The sequence below is a fragment of the Homo sapiens genome, chromosome 9 (genome assembly GCF_000001405.40).
Source record: "Homo sapiens chromosome 9, GRCh38.p14 Primary Assembly".
In the NCBI taxonomy this organism is placed as follows: domain Eukaryota; kingdom Metazoa; phylum Chordata; class Mammalia; order Primates; family Hominidae; genus Homo; species Homo sapiens.
The window spans coordinates 77,220,101-77,239,472 of NC_000009.12; the positions used below are offsets into that span (position 1 = coordinate 77,220,101).

Below are 19,372 nucleotides of genomic sequence, written 5' to 3' on the forward strand. Positions count from 1 at the left end.
TTTTCAATTGTGAATTATTGTTTGATAAAAGCAAAACTAAGATTTTAAATGTTTCACTAAAATTCATGATGTTATATGGTAGCATTTCCCTAAAAAGTCAGTAATGTAACTTTTATCTTCAGCAATTGAACAAAAAAATGTGATACATTTAAGAGCTTTAATTTTCCATTCTTTAGTATTTCAGTATTATGGAGCTTCTTGAATCAGTTGATATGATGGCACAAAATCTGCCATATAGGAAGTTCAAACCTGATGTGCCTCTTCACCACCATGCCAGAGAATGGTAAATGCCTTGATTTTTTTTTTTTTTTAGATTTTAAAAATACAACATAAAAATAAATTTCTCGACTTCAAGAATAATCTTTAAGATATACCATTTTTAAGGTCTGATACAAACCATAATTGATTTATAGCTAGAAATATATGTAGCTGCTTTAGCTTATTGAGTTAATGAAACTGATTTAAGGGATTCTTGCTAACACAGTTTACAACTCGAGATGCTCGAATACCATAGTTTTCATTTACTATGGACGGGTCAGTATATTTAGAATTATTACAAAAACAAATCCTGGTTTGTTTTCTTGCATTGTCTCTCCCCAACCCCCACCTCAGCTTCCCTATCAGATACACTGAACCAATATTATTAAACCTGTATTTTAAAAGCTAAAAATGTTACGGAGTCTATGCAGGATAATCCCATTTTAAAACTCAAAAGTCTTGTTATTCCAGTTTTTAAGCTATTCCCTAGTTTCTAGAAGTTACAATTACTCTTTCAGTTGACTATTTCAGTTATTATTCAGATGACTAAATGTTATTTGCCAATTAATGCCTTAACAGTTCTTGTGTAGAACTATATTTAACAAAATGGAGTGATTTTGCTTATTTTCACTTAAGAAAGAGGAAAGATTAATATTGAATGGATTATTAATGCAAATGGAGTTGGGTAAAAAGGAAGTACTCAGATAATATATCATTTTCCTAATCTTTGTATTATAGTTATGTATGTTGTTAGAGTAGAAGCAATGTCAGTAATGTTTCATACTGTTGATTTGAGGGTGTTAAATGTTTTTCTTTTTTTAACTAGGTGGGCTTATGCTATACATGGCGTTCTTGAAGTAAATGTTTGCCCCAGGTTATGGATGTGGTCATGGAAGCATATTAGAAAACATAGGCAAAAAGTGAAGCAATATAAAGAACTGTATAAAAAAAAGTTAACAAGTAAGAAGCCACCTGGTGAACTTCTCGTGTCTTTGGAGGTTAGCATTTAAAATGAAATTGTTGAGTGTTTTATACTACATAGCTCCTTATTGGTCTTCAGTGACTGATACTCCCTACCTTTCATTCCAATTTTTATTGACCTTTTCATCTCTTTTACTTAGACTTTTTTGTGCTTCTGTTCTTAACTTCAGCTGAATAATACAAGATTTGTTGAAATTCTCCAGTGAGCTTTTGAAATTCGAGATTATTCTCAATCGGAAGGAATTTGGGTTCATGCAAATAGTATGATTATGTCATTTTTAACCTCAAAAGTCTAAATAGTGTTTGCTACATTGATTCCAACTTCTCTGTGTTGGTTTCAAAGCCTTTTATGTGTCACCACTACATTTTCCCTATGTTACAATCTGACCATGCACTAATTTAATGTTTCCTGTACTCTGTATATTTAATGCTCATTCTTTTAGCCACGCCTATGCTCATAAATGCTACCTGCCTTTATCTCTCTACCTACTCAATTCTACTCATCCCTGAAGTTCTACTTAAGTCTTAGTGCTTGCATGAATGTCTCTGAATTTTCTGCTTATACAGAGCCCTTTTTCTCTTAATTTTTGTGGTATCTCTAGTCTCTACCAGTAGTTTTACATTTAATTATCTATCTTGAGATATTATTTTTGTATTAATCTTGTCTTTTAGCATTATGACATATTTCAAGAGGGACTCTTTTACAAATTGATGAACTATAGCTTAGAGAGATTAAGGGGAGTTAGTCTCTTGAAGTTAATGTAAACATTCTGAATCCAGAATGAATTTCTAATTTATAGATTAGATTGACTTTTACTTTTATTTTCAATGTGGGAGACTTTCTGAAGACCTAGGGCTGTTAGGAATGCCTGGGCTTAGAGTCTTTGGGGGATGGGTTCAGGTTGTCTTAGTCTTGAATCATAACCTGAGTCCTCCAAGTCTGGATAGGAGAACCCTGAATAAGTTATTCTGAAATAATAATGGGTTGTAGTTACTTCTCTTGGGGGAAACATAGTTTGATCATGAAATTCTCAAAAGTAATTATGGGTATGTCAAGATAGCTGTGATGAAAGATTTAGCTAATCTCAGCTTATTTCAATAGCTATGACAACTATGAAAAGTGTTAAGTATTAAAAACAAGTTTTAAGTGTATCTGGGTCTACTTGAAATACAGGCATACTTCACTTTATTGTGCTTTGCAGACATTGTGTTTTTTACAAATTGAAGGTTTGTGGCAACACTGTGTCTAGCAAATCTGTCGGCACCATTTTTCCAATAGCATTTATTCCTGTCTATGTGTCACATTTTGGTAATTCCCACAATATTTGAAACTGTTTCATTATTATTATATCTGTTATGATGATCTATGATCAGTGATCTTTGCTGTTACTGTTGTAACTGTTTTGGGGTGCCACAAACTGCATCCATATAAGACAGCTGTTAAATTAAGTTTAGACTAAAGCTGCCTCCTTACATATTTTAAGTTTGGCCAAAAGGTTTCTTTGTACGCCATAAACTATAGCTTAAATGGAAGTATAAACAGACTCTAGTCTACTCTTGTGCCAATCACCAAGTTTTGGCCAATCACATGTGGCCAGTTGTTCAAACCGTGTTCAAATAAGGTGAACACTAAGCTATAACCAAACCAGCTGTTTCTGTACCTCACTTCCATTTTCTCTATGTCAGTTTCCTTTTTCTGTCCATAAATCTTCCACCGTGTGGCTACACCAGAGTCTCTGAGCCTCTTCTGGCTCTGGAGGCTGCCCAATTTGCAAATTGTTCATTGCTTAATTAAATCTTTTAAATGTACTTCGGCTGAAGTTTTTATTCTAACACAGCAAACTTAATAAATGTTGTGCGTGTTCTGACTGTTCTGCTGACTGGCTGTTTTCCTGACTCCCTCTGCTTGGGCCTCCTTATTCCATGAGATAAAATATTGAAATTAGGCCGATTAATAGCCCTACAAAGGCCTCTAAGTGTTCAAATATAAGGAAGAATCATACGTCTCTCACTTTAAATTGAAAGTTGGAAATAATTAAGCTTAGTGAGAAAGGCATGTTGAAAGCAGAGATAGGCCAAAAGCTAGGCTGCTTGTGCCCAATGGTTAGCTGAGTCCTGAAGGAAATTGAAAGTGCTATTCCAGGGAACACATGAATGATAAGAAAGTAAAACAGCCTGATTACTGATGTGGAGAGTGTTCTAGTGGTCTAGATAGATGAAATCAGCTACAGCATTCCTCTAAGCCTTATCCAGTGCAAGGCCCTAAACATATTCTCTTCAATACTATAAAGACTGAGAGAGGTGAGGAAGCTGCAGAAGAAAAGTTTGAAGATAGCAGAGATTGGTTCTTGAAGTTTAAGGGAAGAAGCTGTCTCTATAACAAAAGTATAAGGCAAAGAAGAAAGTGCTGATGGAGAAGCTGCAGCAAGTGATCCTGAAGATCTAGCTAAGATCATTGATGAAGGTGGCTATACTAAACAGATTTTCAGTGTAGATGTAACAGCCTTTTACTGAGAGAGGATGCCATCTGAACTCTCCTAGCTAGAGTGAAAAAGTTAATATCTGGCCTCAAAGCTTCAAAGGACAGGCTGACTCTCTTGCTAGATGCTGACGTAGCTAGTGATTTCAGGTTGAAGCCAGTGATTCTTTGCCATTCTGAAACTCTTAGGGCCCTTAAGAATATGCTAACTCTACTCTGGCTATGCTCTATACACGGAACAGCAAAGCCTGGATGACAACATATCTGTTTACAACATTTTAAACCCAAGCTCAGACCTACTGCTCAGTAAAAAAAGATTTTTTTCAAAATATTATTGCTAATAGACAATGCACCTAGTCACCAAAAGCTCTGATAGAGATATACAAAGAGATGAATGTTGTTTTCATGCCTGCTAACACCACATCTGTTCTGCCACCCATGGATTGAAGAGTAATTTTAACTTTCAAGTCTTATTATTTAAGAAGTACATTTTGTAAGATGATAGCTGCCTTATGAAGTAGGCAGCTATCATTCCTCTGATGGATCTGGGCAAAGTAAATTGAAAACCCTCTGGAAAGGATTTGCCATTCTATATGCCATTAAGAATATTTGTGAATCATGGGTGGAGGTCAAAATATGAACATTGACAGGTGTTTGGAAGTTGATTCCAACCCTCATGGAAGACCTTGAGAGGTTCAAGATTTCAGTGGAGAAAGTCACTGCAGATGTGGTGGAAATACGAAGAGAACTAGAAGTGGAGCCTGAACATGTGACTAAATTGCTACAATCTCATGATAAAACTTTAACCAATGAGGAGCTGCTTCTTATAGAAGAGCAAAGAAAGTGGTTTCTTGAGATGAAATATACTCCTGGTGAAGATGAGAACATTGTTGAAATGACAATTAGAAATTTACATAAAATTAGTTGATAAAGCAGCACTGCTGTTTGAGAGGATTGACTTCAATTTTGAAGGAAATTCTGTAAGTAAAATGCTATCAAACAGCGTTGTACGCTACAGATAAATCAGTTGTGAAAAGAAGAGTCAATTGATGTGGCAAACTTCAGTTAAGAGATTGCAATAGCCACCCCAACCTTCAGCAATCACCACCCTGATGAGTCAGCAGCTATCAACATCGAGGCAAGATCCTCCATCAGCAAAATATTACAACTCGTTGATGGCTCAGATGATTGTTAGCATTTTTTAGCAATGAAGTATTTTAAAATTAAGGTATTTATGTTGTTTTCTTAAGACAATGCCATTGCACCCTTAATAGACTATAATGTAGTAGGAACATAACTTTTATATGCACTGGAAAACCAAAACATTTGTCTGACACTTGCCATACTGTGGTGATCTGGAACTGAATCTGCAGTATCTCTGAGGTATGCCTGTATCTTAATGATAACATACAGGCTGTACACATAATATGAAGGATTTACGATTATATATCTTTGTATAGATTTTTTTTGAGACAGAGTCTTGCTTTGTCACTCAGGTTGGAGTGCAGTGGCACCATGACCCCTCAGACTTAAGCTGTCCTCTCATCTCAGCCTCTTAAGTAGCTCGGACTACAGGCATGTGCCACCATGCCTAGCTAATTTGTATATGTTTTGTAGAGGTTTTGCAGTGTTGCCCAGGCTGGTCTGGAACTCCTGAGTTCAAGTGATTCGCCTGCCTCAGCCTCCCAGAGTGTTGGGGTTACAGGCATGAGCCACTGTGCTTGGCCTTGTAATTATATTTTTAGTTGAAAATGTAACTAATATGTTTACCCTTATCTGTAGTTTAAACCCAAATAAAATCATTTTAAACAATGCATGTACATATTTTAATATGTGTTTATAACTTGAAGAGTTTGGAACTCTTTATGCAGAATATGTATTATTTCATTTTTCAAAAAATTACTCTCTAATTTACTAATTTCCATGCTGATATATGTTCAAGCATTGCTTCCCAGAATTTAACATATGTATTATATTGATGAATGTTCTGTTGTTTGCTTCCTATTATATCTTTTCTTTAGTGCAGCCATTTGATAGATTATGTGCTTAAGTTAATTATGTAAAGTTATTTTTGTAAAGTTAACACATTTTTGTTTATATTTTTCAGGAGTTGGAAAAAACCTTGGATGTCTTTAATATAACTATAGCTAGACAGACGGCAGAAGTTGAGGTAATTCTTGGCTTTTCAATTAGTAAAAATAATTCTGAATTCCATATAGATATGACAGATGTGATATTATTAATCTTATACTGTAACATATTGTTTCCAAAAAGTGGTTCAATTTGCTTTTTAGTATTATAAGAAAATTATTTAATATTTTTTGGCACATCCATTTAAATCAGACAGATTTCTATGGGAAAAAATCTTTCTAAATATTTGGGCTTTTCAAATATTCAGTTATGAAGGTAAAAGCCAATTTATTTTTTTTCAATCATCATTTCTTATAAGATGGTGGAAAAACTATGTGGTACTCCTAAATTCTTATGTTCGACTAATGTTGCAGTTTCTGTGTTCTGTTATTAATGTGTATATTGTTTACATTCATTTTGCTCAAGAGGATAAGTTCTCAGAATGTCTTGCTTATATTTGTTTCAGTTGCTAAATAAAGGATAATGTGTCATTTATTTGAAAATTTATTCATTTTAGGTAAAGAAAGCTGGATACAAAATTTACAAAGAAGGAGTAAAAGATCCAGAGGATAATAAAGGGTGGTTTAGCTGGCTATGGTCTTGGTCAGAACAAAATACTAATGAACAGCAACCAGATGTTCAACCTGAAAGTATGTCCATTTCATTTTACAGCATAGTTAATCACTGGGTGTCAAAATAAAGTTTTGCCATTTTTTGCCTAATTAAAGTAAATAGACATTGAAATATATTTATTTAATTATATATAAAGTTATTACAAATAAAACTATTAAAACATTGAAAATGTGTATTAGTTTAAAAATAAAAAATAATTTAAAAATCATGCTAGTGCTTACAAAAAGAGCTTTATGCCCAGAGATTTAGTGAATGCATATAGCACAGTAATAAATAAATAAAAATTCCAAAGTGTTCTCCATTGTAAATTTTTATTGAAGTTGTTTCTTGGAAAGATTTTTGATTTTTAACTAACAGCTTAAGAGTATAGCTTTGGAGGTTTAGAGACTTAGGTATATGTTTTAGATCTATCACTTATTAGCAGTGTGTCTCTGGCAAGTTATTTAAGTGCACTAAACTTCAGTTTTATCATCTATAACATGGGAGGAAATTACAATGTTAATACTACCTACTTTTTATACTAAATGTGTTGATTAGCACAGTGCTATTGTCTAATATAGTTAGCCGTTTTTGAGCTCTTGCTTAATACAAATATTATAAATTAATGTTGCTAAACTTACATATTTAGCAATTTATATTTTGGATAATTACTTGTAAAATTGCCAGCCCCATTCAAACATTCAGTGTTTATAATTTCTTAAGAGCGTTCAAGAAAGTAAATTTCACATTCTGTTTATTAAAGGCAGATACATTGTGTTAATTTTATTGTTTTTATTTAAGAACATAAAGCACTTCTTTCTGATTTGTAGCTCTTGAAGAAATGTTGACACCTGAAGAAAAAGCTTTACTCTATGAAGCAATTGGCTATAGTGAAACAGCAGTTGATCCAACTTTACTAAAAACAGTAAGATGTTTTCTTGCCTTATACCTTAGAATATATTTATTTATTTATTTGTTTAGAGACAGGGTCTCACTCTGTTGCCCAGGCTGGACTGCAGTGGTGTGATCTCTGCTGCCAGCCTTAACCTGGCCTCAAGCAATCCTCCCACCTCAGCCTCTCGAATAGCTGGAGCCACAGGCATGCACCCTCATGCTAGCTAATTTTTGTGGTTTTTTTTTTGTTTTTTTTTTTTGATAGAGATGGGGTTTCGCCATGTTGCTCAGGCTGGTTTTGAACTTCTGAGCTCAAGCAATCCGCCTGCCTCGACTTCCCAAAGTGCTGGGATTATAGGCATGAACCACTGCTCCTGACCTTATGCTTTGGAATTTAATGTTACATATGTCCATTTTTAATCCTTTCAAAAATATATGTTACTGACTTGTTCTGTGATCTTTTTTCTGGGTCTGTAATTGCATTTATTTTAATTTCTAAGGTAGGGATAAATATTGTCTCTTTTTTTGGGGTCAATGTGATGATTCTTGAAGAAATAAAATGTCCTTAAAATATTTGGTGGTTTTTGAAATGAATGTACTATAAGAATATTTGTTATGCTTATATATATATATATGTTTTCATTTTATTCTTCTGAATATACCTTAGTTTGAAGCCTTGAAGTTTTTTGTCCACTTGAAAAGTATGTCTATTGTTCTAAGAGAAAATCATCAAAAACCTGAGCTGGTAGATATTGTAATAGAAGAATTTAGCACCTTAATTGTGCAAAGACCAGGAGCACAAGCAATAAAGTAAGTATTAATTTATCTTTTTTTATCATATATGAAAAAACTTCACTGTGTTCTTAGACATTAGGTCACAATCTTAGTCTTTTGTAAAGAGCACTATAGTTTCATATATCCTTTTGTGGTTTCAGGAAAAAGGTTTTTTTTTTAATTGTTAAGATAATACATGTTCAATAGAAAACCACATTCCAGTGAAACATAGGGCATTAAAGAATAATACAAAAATGATCAGCAACTACACTACACAAAAAGAAACAGCATTAACAATGTGGTTTTTATCTGAGAGTTTTTAGTTTTATTTTTTTTAAAGTAGCTTTGAGATGTAATTCACATACCCTACAATTCATTTAAAGTGTGTGGTTCATTGATTTTTCACAACTATATTATATAGTAATTTCACATTGGTATATTTACGAAGCTGTACAACCACCAGCACTGTATTAGTCCATTTTCATGCTGTTAATGAAGACTTACCCAAGACTGGGAAGAAAAAGAGGTTTAATTGGACCAACAGCTCCACATGGCTGGGGAGGCCTCAGAATTGTCAGGGGAGGCGAAAGGCACCTCTTCCCTGGTGGCAGCAAGAGAAAATGAGGAAGATACAAAAGCGGAAACCCCTGCTAAAAACCATCAGATCTCATGAGACTTATTCACTACCATGAGAACAGTATGGGGAAGCCACCCCCATGATTCAAATTATCTCCCACCAGGTCCCTCCCACAACACGTGGGAATTATGGGAGTACAATTCAAGATGAGATTTGGGTCGGGACACAGAGCCAAACCTTATCAACTACTATCTAATTCTAGAACTTTATTTTATTTTATTTATTTTTTTTGAGACAGGGTTTCACTCTGTTGCCCAGGCTGGAGTATGGTGGTAGGGTCTTGGCTCACTGCAGTCTCTGCTTCCTGGGCTCAGGCTAACCTCCAGCTTCAGCCTCCTGAGTAGCCGTGACTACAGGCGCGAGCCACCAACACCTTGCTAATTTTTAGAATTTTTGTAGAGATGGGGTTTCACCATGTTGCCCAGGCTGGTCTGGAGCTTGTTGGCTCAAAGCAGTTCGCCAGCCTCAGCCTCCCGAAGTGCTGGAATTACAGGTGTGAGCCTGGCTCATTCGAGAATATGTTAACAACTCCCAAAGAAACCCTGTAATCATTAGCAGTCACTCCCAAGTGCCCCCTTACCCAGCCCCTGGCAACAACTAATTTACTTTCTATTTGAAAGGATTTGTCCATTTTGGACAGTTCATATGAATGTAGTCATACAATATCTGGTCTTTTCTGTTTGGCATTTTTCACTTAGCATGATGTTTTCAAGGTTCATCCTGTTGTAGCATGAATTAGTACATTCCTTTTTATTGCCTAGTAATCTCTATTATGGACGCATCACGTTTTGTTTATCCATTTAACTGTTGAGGATATTTAGGTTGTTCCTTCTTTTTGGCTCTTCTGAGTATTGCAGCTATGAGTATTCATGAGTAATATTTTGTTTGGAGGTGGGTTTTAATTTTCTTGGGTAGACACCTGGGGTGGAATTGCTGTCTCATATGCTAATACTATTTAACCTTTTGAGGAACTACCAGACTGTTTCCCAAAGCAGCCTCACCATTTTACATTTCCATGAACAGTATATGATGTTTCCAATTTCTTCATATCTTCATCAACACTTGTTATTATCTGTTCTTTTGATTACAGCCATTCTAGTGAGTATGAAATGGTATCTCACTGTGGTTTTGATTTGCATTTTCCTGATGGCTAAGGATTTTGAGCTTTTTTTCTTTGTGCTTATTGGCCATTTCACGTGCATATCTTCTTTGGAGAAATGTCTATTAGATTTTTTTTCCTATTTTATGTTGGGTTGTCTTTTTATTATCGATTTGCAAGAGTTCTTTATATATTCTTGATACAAATCTCTTATTAGATAAACAATTTTCAGTTATTTTCTCTCACTGTGTTTTCTTTTTATTTTTCTTAATGGTGAAGTCAAATTTATATTTTTTTTGCTACACATGCTTTTCATTATAACTCAGAAATCTTTGCCTACTCCAGTGGTACAAATATATACTCCTATATATTCTTATAAGAATTTTATGCTATTTCCTCTTATATGTAGGGTTAGAATCCATTTTGAGTTAATGTTAGTGTGTGGTGTGAGGTGGGGGATTCAGCTTCATTCTTTTTCATGAGATTATTCAGTTGTCCTAGCACCATTTGTTGAAAAAACTATTTTTTCCCATTGAATGATCTTGGCAGGCTTGTCAAAATTTATAAGTTGATCATAAATGTAAGGATTTCTAGACTCTTAATTCTAATCCCATTGTTCTATATGTCTAGCCTTATGCCAGTACCCTACTGTCTTAATTATGGTGGCTTTATAGTAGAACTTGTAATCAGGAAGTATGACTCTTCCAGTTTTGTTTTTTTGTTTTAGCTGTCCTGATTTCCTTAAACTTCTGTATAAATTTTAAGATTATGTTGTCCATTTATGCAAAAAAATAAGCTCAGATTTGATAAAGATTGTGTTGAATTTTGTGGATCAATTTTGGGTGTACTGAACAAATTATTCAGCACAAATTATTCAGCTACTTATCTAAACAATATTAAGTCTTCCAATCCATGCACATTGGATATCTTTTCATTTATTTAGATTTTTAAAATTTGAACAACGTTTTACAGTTTTCAGATACAGTACACCTCTTAGGTTAAATTTATTTGCAAGTATTTTATTGTTTTTGATGATATAAATGGAATTGTTTTCTTAATTTCATTTTGGATTATTATGTGTATAGAAATACAATTGAGTTTTGTATACTGCACTTGTACCCTGCAACCTTGATGAACTTGTTTCATTAGTTCAATGAGTTTTTTTAGTTGATTCCTTAGGATTTTTTATATACATGATCATATAATCTGCAAATATAGTTTTACTTCTTCCATTCCGATGTGGATGCCCTTTCTTTTGTTTTCTTGCCTAATTGCCCCGGCTAGAACCTCCAGTAGTATTTTAAATAGAGATTATGAGAGTGGGCTTCTCTTCTTGTTTCTGTTCTTCGAAGGAAGTGTTCATCCTTTCACCATTATGATGTTAGATGTGAGTTAGGTGTGGTCTGCATCATTTTACAATCCCACCAGCAATGTACGTGGATTCATATTTTTTCCATATCATTCCCAACACTTGTTATTTTGTTTTTTTATTTTAAATTATAGCCATCCTTATGGGTGTTTAGTATCATATTGTGGTTTTGATTTGAATTCCCTTAATGACTAATGATGTTCAGCATCTTTTCATGTGGATATTGGCCCTTTGTATAAGTTCATTGGGTCTTTTTTTTAATTGAGTTATTTTTCATTTGTTGTTGAGGTGTAAGAATTCTTTTGTATTCTGGATACTAAACTGTCACCGGTACATGATTTGCAAATATTTCCTTCTATTCTTTATTTTGTGATTTCACTTCATTGATACTGTCCTTTGGTGTACGGAAGTTTTTAATTTTGAAGCTCACTTCATCCGGTCTTATATTTTGTTGTTCATGCTTTTGATGTCTTATCTCAGAAGGTTCACCTAAGCCAAGGTTGTGAACGTCTACTCCAGTATTTTCTTCTAAGAGTTTTATACTTCTGTCGCTTACATATACGTTTATGACCTGTATTGAGTTAATTTTTGTAAATGGCATAAGGAATTGGTACAGCTCATTTCATTTGCATGTGGATATCCCGGTGTCCCCTCACACTTGTTGAAGACACTATTCTTTCCTCAATGAACACTCCTGGTACCATTGTTGAAAATCAATTAGCCATAGATGTATGTATGGCTTTATTTTTGGACTCTCAATTCTATCTCATTTTTATTCTAGACTTTCACTGTGATTATCATTATACCAATATCGTACTGTTTTGATTACTGCAGATTTTTAGTAAGTTTTGAAATTGGGAAGTGTCTTCCCTATTTTGTTCTGCTCTTTCAAGAATGTTTTAGCTGTTCAAGGGTTGCTTACAAGACCTTATGAATTTGAGGATTCACTTTTCCATTTCTGGAAAGTGTCTCTTTGAAATTTGATAGGGATTGCATTCAGTATGTAGATTGCTTTTGGTAGTATTGCCATAATAACAATATTAAGTCTTCTGTGAACATGGGATATCTTTCCATTTAAATAAATGCTAAATAGATGCTTTTTCTGTTTTTATGAAGAGTTTCAGAAGGATTGTTATTAATCCTTCTTTAAATATTTTGTAGAATTCACTAGTGAAGCCATTTGGTCCTTGTATTAGTCTGTTCTTATGCTCCTAATAAAGAGATACCTGAGACTGGGTAATTTATAAAGGAGAGAGGTTTAATTGACTCATAGTTCGGTATGGCTGGGGTGGCCTCACAATCATGGCAGAAAGCAAATGAGGAGCAAAGTCATATCTTATATGGAGGCAGGCAAGAGAGAGCTTGTGCAGGGGAGCTCCCTTTATAAAACCATCAGACCTCATGAGACTTATTCACTATCATGAGAACAGCACTGGAAAAACCTACCCTCTTGATCCAGTTACCTCCCATCAGGTCTCTCCCACGACATGGGGGAATTATGGGAGCTACAATTCAAGATGAGATTTGGGTGGGGACACAGCCAAACCATATCAGCTGAATTCTTCTTTGTTGAGAGTTTTTGGTTACTGATTTACTCCTTACTAGTTATAGGTTTTACTATAAGTAAGTTTAAAAGGTTATAGTAAGTTTTACTATACTAAAGTTTATAGTAAAGTTTTACTGATAGTTTATAGGTTTATAAGTAGGATCTGTAGGTTACAGTAAAGTTTACTATAGGTTTTTAAGGTTATAGAAAAGTTTTACTTCCTATTAGTTATCTGATTTTCTATTTCTTCTCGAGGCAGTTTTTGTAATTTATATATTTCTAGGAATTTGTTCATTTATCTATTTTGTTGGTACTGTTTTTTGCAGTACTCTTTTGTAGTACTTTTTATTCCTCTATGGTGTGTCATAATGCCTCCACTTTGATTTCTAGTTATAGATATTTGCATCTTTAGTGTTTTTTTTCTTATTTTAGGTAAAGGTTTGTTAAATATGTTAACCTTTTCAAAGTGGCAACTTTGATTTTTTTTCATTCTCTCTGGTGTTTTTGTTTTCTGTATTTCATTTGTCTCCACTCTGACATGTATTATTTTATTCATACTGTGAGCTTTGGGTTTAATTTGCTCTTCTCTTTTTAGTTCTTTAAAGTGTAAAGTGAGGTTATTGATTTGATAATCTTTCTTTTTTAATGTAGGCATTTGCAAACAAAAATTTCCCTGTGAGAACTGCTTTGGATACATCCTGTATGTTTTGTAATATTGTGTTTGATTCGCATCCATTTCAACGTATTTTCTGATTTCTCTTGTGGTTTTTTTTTTAACCTGTTGCTTGTTTAAGAGTGTTTAATTTCCACATAATTGTGAATTTTTCAGTTTTTCTTCTATTGAGTTCTAATTTGATTCCATTGTGGTTGGAGAAGATGCTTGGTGTATTATTAAACTTGTTGAGATTTGCTTTGTGACCTAACATTTGGTCTATCCTGGAGAATGTTCCATGTGCTTGCACTTGAGAAGAATGTATTTTGCTGTTGTTGGGTAGAGTAGTCCATATTTGTCTGTTACATGTAGTTGGTTTATAATGTTGTTTAGGTTCTCTGTTACTTTATTGTTCCTCTGCCTAAATATTCCTCATTTAATGGAAGTGGGAGATTGAAATTTCTAAGTGTTATTGTGAGCTATTTCTCCCTTTAATTCTGTCAAGGTGTGATTCATATATTTTGAGGACTTTGGTGTATAAATGTTTATAATTGTTGTATCTTTGATGAATTGAGCCTTTTAATCAAACTATAATGACCTTTTCTTCTTGTCACAGTTTTCTATTGAAAGATATTTAAGTTAATTAATTAATTATTAATTTAGATACAGGGTCTTGCTTTGCCACCCAGGCTTGAGTGCAGTGGTGTAGTTATAGCCTCACTGCAGCCTTGAACTCCTGGGCTCAAGTGATCTTCCCACCACAGCCTCCTGAGTAGCTGGAATTAAAGGTGTGAGCCACCATACCTGGCTAAAGATTATTTTATATGTTAGTATAACCACCCAGCTCTCTCTTGGTTATGAGTTGCATGCAGTATATTTTTTCATCCTTTCACTTTCAACCCATATGTGTCTTTGGATGTAAAATGAGTCTCTTTTAGGCAGTATGCCTATGGTCCCTGACTTAGGCTAAGTATATTAAATACATTTTTGACTTGGAATATTTTCGATGGGTTTATTGGGAAATAATTAGTCATAAGTTGAGGAGCATCTGTATTGTTGTATCATGTTTTTTTCATCCATTCTGCCAGTCTCTATCTTTCCTTTGATGAGTTTAATTTCATTTACATTTAACATGTTTACTGGTAGGCAAGAAGTTCTGCCATTTTGCTATTTGTTTATTGTATGTCTTATACCTTCTGTACCCTCAGTTCCTCAGTACTGTCTTCTTAGTGTTTGTTAATTTTTTGGGGGATATATTTTTATTTCTTCCTCATTTCTTTTTCCAAACATATTTTAGTCATTTTGTTGAGGGCTACTATATAGGGATTACAATTAACAGTCCAAATTTAAGACAGTCAAATTTGAATTGACACTAACTTAACTTTAATAGTGTATAAAAACTCTACTCTTATGCAGCTCCATTCTTCATCTTTACGTTATCATTTTCACAAATTACTGCTTTACATACTTGTGTTCATTAGTCTAGGTTTATATTTGTTTTTATGTGTTTGTCTTTAAATCATAGAGGAATTAAAAAGAGGAGTTAAAAACCAAAAATGCAATATTACTGGCTTTCTTATTTGCTTATGTAGTTACAATTACAACAGTTCTTTATTTATTTGTATGGCTGCAAATTACTATCTAATATCCTGTCATTGCAGTCTTTAGGACTTCCTTTAACCTTTCTTGTAGGGCAGGTCTACTAATGACAGACAGACTCAGTTTTTGTTCATCTGGAAATGTGTTCATTTTTCCTTCATTTTAGAAGGATAGTTTTGTCATATATAGATTTCTTGGTTGACATTTTTTTTCATTTAGTGCTTTAAGTACATGATCTTGCTGCCTTTTGGACTGCATGGTTTCTGAGGAGAAATTAGCTGTTAATCTATTACATATCTTGTTATGTGATGAGTTGCTTCTCTCTTGCTGCTTTCAAGATTTTCCTTGTTTTAGCTTTTGACAGTTGGATTATAATATGTTGCTGTGTGAGTCTCTGAGTTTATCCTAATTGGAGGTCTTTGAGCTTCTTGGATGTATAAATTTGTGTTCTTTATCAAATTTGAGAAGTTTTTGGCCATTATTTCTCCCAGTATTTTTAATGTCTTTTTCTTTTTCTCATGTCCTTCGGAGAGTCCCGTAGTGCATATGTTGTTCCACTTGATGGTCTCCCACTTTAGGCACTGTTCATTGTTCTTCATTATTCTTTATGCTCCACAGACTCAATAATTTCAGTTGTCCTGTATTCAAGTTTGATGATTCTTTCTTTGGGCTGCTTAGATCCTCTGTGAAACCTCTCTGCAGATGGTTCCCAAATCATGATTGTTCAGCTTATGATTTTTTTGATTTTAGAATGGTGCGAAAGTGATCCATATTTAGTAGAAATCTTACTTTGAGTATCCATACAACCTTTGTTTTTCACTTTTCAGTACAGTACTGAATAAATTACATAAGCTATTTAACATTTTATTGTAAAATAGGCCTTGTGTTAGATGATTTTTCCCAACGTAGACTAATATAACTATTCTGAGTACATTTAGGGTAGGCTAGGCTAGGCTATGATGCTTGGTAGGCTAGGTGTGTCAAATGCATTTTAAACTTATGACATATTCAACTTACAATGATTTTATTGGGACATAACCCCATTATAAGTCAAGGAACATCTGTAGTGAAGTTTTCATATTGGCTGTTGTACTTTTCACCTTCAAAATTTCTGTTTGGTTCTTTTTAATAATTTCTGTCGATTTATATTCTGTGCTCAAATGTTATTTTCCTGGTTTTCTTTAGTCTTTGAGTGTAAGCTTATTTAACATGATGGCTTAGTGAACATAATGCTAGTCTTCCCTTTTCTGTGTAAGCTTTGTACATTTTTGTTTAAAACTTGATGTTTTGAGTGGTATAATGTGGTAACTGTGGAAATTAGATGTCCCCCCTCTCCATGGTTAGTTGTTGTTGATTGTTGAAGGATGTAGTTTTCCATTTGTTTACCTACTGTAGTGGGTAGAATTGTATCATCCAAAACATTGTCAATTTCTAATTCCCAGTACCTGCAAATATAGCCTTATTTGGAAATAGCCTTTGCAGATGTAATCAAGTTAAAATGAGTTCATGCTGTATTAGTGTTTGCTCTAATTGAATGATGTGTGCTCTTCAAAGGAAAGAGAAATTTGAACACAGACTCAGAAAATAAGACAGACTAGAGAAGACAATTTGCAGACAGACATAAAGAGGAGAATGCCATGTGACGATATCTTCTTAGCTGCGCCCATATTAATGTAGATTTTCTGTAACGTGGTGTGGGGATTAGAGGTGGGAAATGATCATAGCTCAGATGCCACAGGCTCTCCCTGTTCTTATCAAGTTTTAGTAGATTTTTTTGTTTGTTTTGAGATGGAATGCCACTCTGTCGCCAGGCTGGAGTGCAGTGGCACAATCTCAGCTCACTCCACCTCCTGAGTTCCAGAGATTCTCCTGCCTCAGGCTCCCGAGTAGCTGGGATTACAGGCATGTACCACCACACCCAGCTAATTTTTGTATTTTTAGTAAAGACAGAGTTTCACCATGTTGGCCAGGATGGTCTCGATCTCTTGACCTCGTGATCCGCCTGCCTCAGCCTCCCAAAGTGCTGGGATTACAGGCGTGAGCCACCGAGCCCAGCCTAGATTTTTTTGAATAAAAGTTTTTCTGTTTGCTGTATGCCCTTAGATTGATTTCCAGAGATTTTATAATTTTCACCAGTTCTTTCCCTGTTTGGTTTGCTGGGGAGAAGAGTTGCTGAGCTCCTCACATAGTCATTCTCGAAGTCCTGCCTCATCCTTGGTTTTTAAATGTTTATTAAATTGTTTTATTTTTTTGAGACAGAGTCTCACTCTGTCACCCAAGCTGGAGGGCAGTGGCATGATCTCGGCTCACTGCAACCTCCACCTCCCTGGTTCAAGCGATTTTCCTGCCTCAGCCTCCCGAGTAGCTGGGACTACAGGCTCATGCCCCCACACCTGGCTAACTTTTGTATTTTTAGTTGAGACAGGGTTTCACCACGTTGGCCAGTTTGGTCTCGAACTCTTGACCTCAAGTTATCCACCTGTCTTGACCTCCCAAAATGCTGGGATTACGGGTGTGAGCCACATGTCTGGCCTTTAAATGTTTATTTTTATTTTTAGAAGAAAACATGTTTATAGACTTGTGTTAAATATGCAAAACTTTTCAGTTTTACATTAAGCATTGTAGATTTACTGTCATTTTAATTTTAGCTTATCATAACTTTTTTACATATAAGTCAACACAAATAGGATTCTTTGTGAATTAATCTATGTCAATTTAGAGGAATCATTGTATGTCTTCTTTGATGGGAATGGACTGGAGTCAGAAATGCAAAGTGAAGTTGTCTTCATTAATTTTTTAAATCATTTTCAATTTTTAAAATCCTTCACAATTTTACTGATCGCTGACTTTTTTCTTTTTTTTTTAATGCAGATTTGAAACTAAAATAGATTCATTTCATATTACTGGCTTACCAGATAATTCAGAAAAACCCCGCCTCCTGTCTTCATTGGATGATGCAATGTCACTTTTCCAAATTACATTTGAGATAAATCCATTAGATGAAACTGTTTCTCAGAGGTGTATCATAGAAGCTGAACCTTTAGAAATCATATATGATGCAGTAAGCATTTTTTTAAATTACTAAGTTTTAATATAATTTAGTTTGCTTTGAGTTTGTGTTAATGATGTTTATTTTAACAGAGGACAGTGAATAGTATAGTGGAATTCTTCAGACCTCCAAAAGAGGTACATCTAGCACAGCTCACTGCAGCAACTTTGACAAAACTGGAAGAATTTCGCAGTAAGACAGCAACAGGTAAATGCCAATATTAATGTTGGTGAATTAAATACTGTATCCTATATTAAACTTTTATTTATGGTAGAATGTTTTTAGTAAAGTTTATTTTAAATTTATTATATTTCTAGACTGGTTTTAGTTTAACAGAAACTAATTTAGTACTTTTATGTTTAAAGGCAGATAAAACCATAATCATTTTTTACACTCAGAAAGTTCATACCTAGTAACCACATTTAAGTTAGTTGCAAAATTTTGCTTAGGATACTTGGACCTCTATTTATGACAAAAACTGGCCTCTCGTTTTCCTTTCTTAGAATGCGTTCCAGATTTTGATATATCAGCCTCAGGGAAAAAAGTTCTATCCTTTTTTATTCTCTAGGAGAGTTTGAATAAGGTCGGGTACGATTTCTTCCTTAAATATTTGGCAGAGCTTAATGGTAAAACCACTTGGTTTTGGAGATTTCTTTGTGGGAAAGTTTAAGATTACAGATTGAACTTTTTAATTAAATAGTTGACCATAGAGATTATCTGTATGATTTTAATGCTTTGTAATTGGTTGGGACTTGTTTTCTAGCTCAATGTATGATATTAAAAAAAATGTTCCTCATATGCTGAAAAGGCTGTCTTTTCATATCTATACCTATTCATTAGGTATGGATTGTTAATCCTTTACTTCAAATTTTTTGTATCCTTACTGGATTTTTTTTTTCCCCTTTTGTCACCTTGTTCTAACAGTTATTAAGAGAAATACATGAAAAATGCCTCATTATCAATGTAGATTTTTCTATTTCTAATAGATCTGTCAGTTTGTTTAAAAAAATAAATTTGGCTGGGCGCGGTGGCTCACACCTTTGATCCCAGCACTTTGGGAAGCCGAGGCGGGTGGATCACCTGAGGTCAGAGTTTGAGACCAGCCTGGCCAACATGGCAAAATCATAATAGAGACGGGGTTTTAATAGAGACCAGGTTTCACCAGCCTGGCGACAGAGCAACACCCTGCCACACACACCAAAAGTAATAATAATAAAAATTAAAAAAAAAATAAATTTTAAGACTGTCATTAAGTACATGCAGGAGTAAATTATTTTTCCTCCTATAAACCAC

The 19,372-nt window shown here is 34.3% G+C and overlaps 1 protein-coding gene across 4 annotated transcripts in view; it reads left to right on the plus strand.

The window, feature by feature from the left end:
- The window catches only part of VPS13A (vacuolar protein sorting 13 homolog A), a 244,004-nt gene that overhangs the window by 42,567 nt on the left and 182,065 nt on the right, over positions 1 to 19,372 (plus strand). For all 4 annotated transcript variants that reach the window (NM_033305.3, NM_001018037.2, NM_015186.4 and 1 more), the window contains exons 12-19: positions 177 to 283; positions 1,085 to 1,256; positions 5,826 to 5,888; positions 6,366 to 6,498; positions 7,291 to 7,385; positions 8,022 to 8,164; positions 17,902 to 18,091; positions 18,172 to 18,286. In NM_033305.3, the coding sequence (NP_150648.2) occupies positions 177 to 283; positions 1,085 to 1,256; positions 5,826 to 5,888; positions 6,366 to 6,498; positions 7,291 to 7,385; positions 8,022 to 8,164; positions 17,902 to 18,091; positions 18,172 to 18,286 (1,018 nt within the window). The remainder of the gene's footprint in view (positions 1 to 176; positions 284 to 1,084; positions 1,257 to 5,825; positions 5,889 to 6,365; positions 6,499 to 7,290; positions 7,386 to 8,021; positions 8,165 to 17,901; positions 18,092 to 18,171; positions 18,287 to 19,372) is intronic.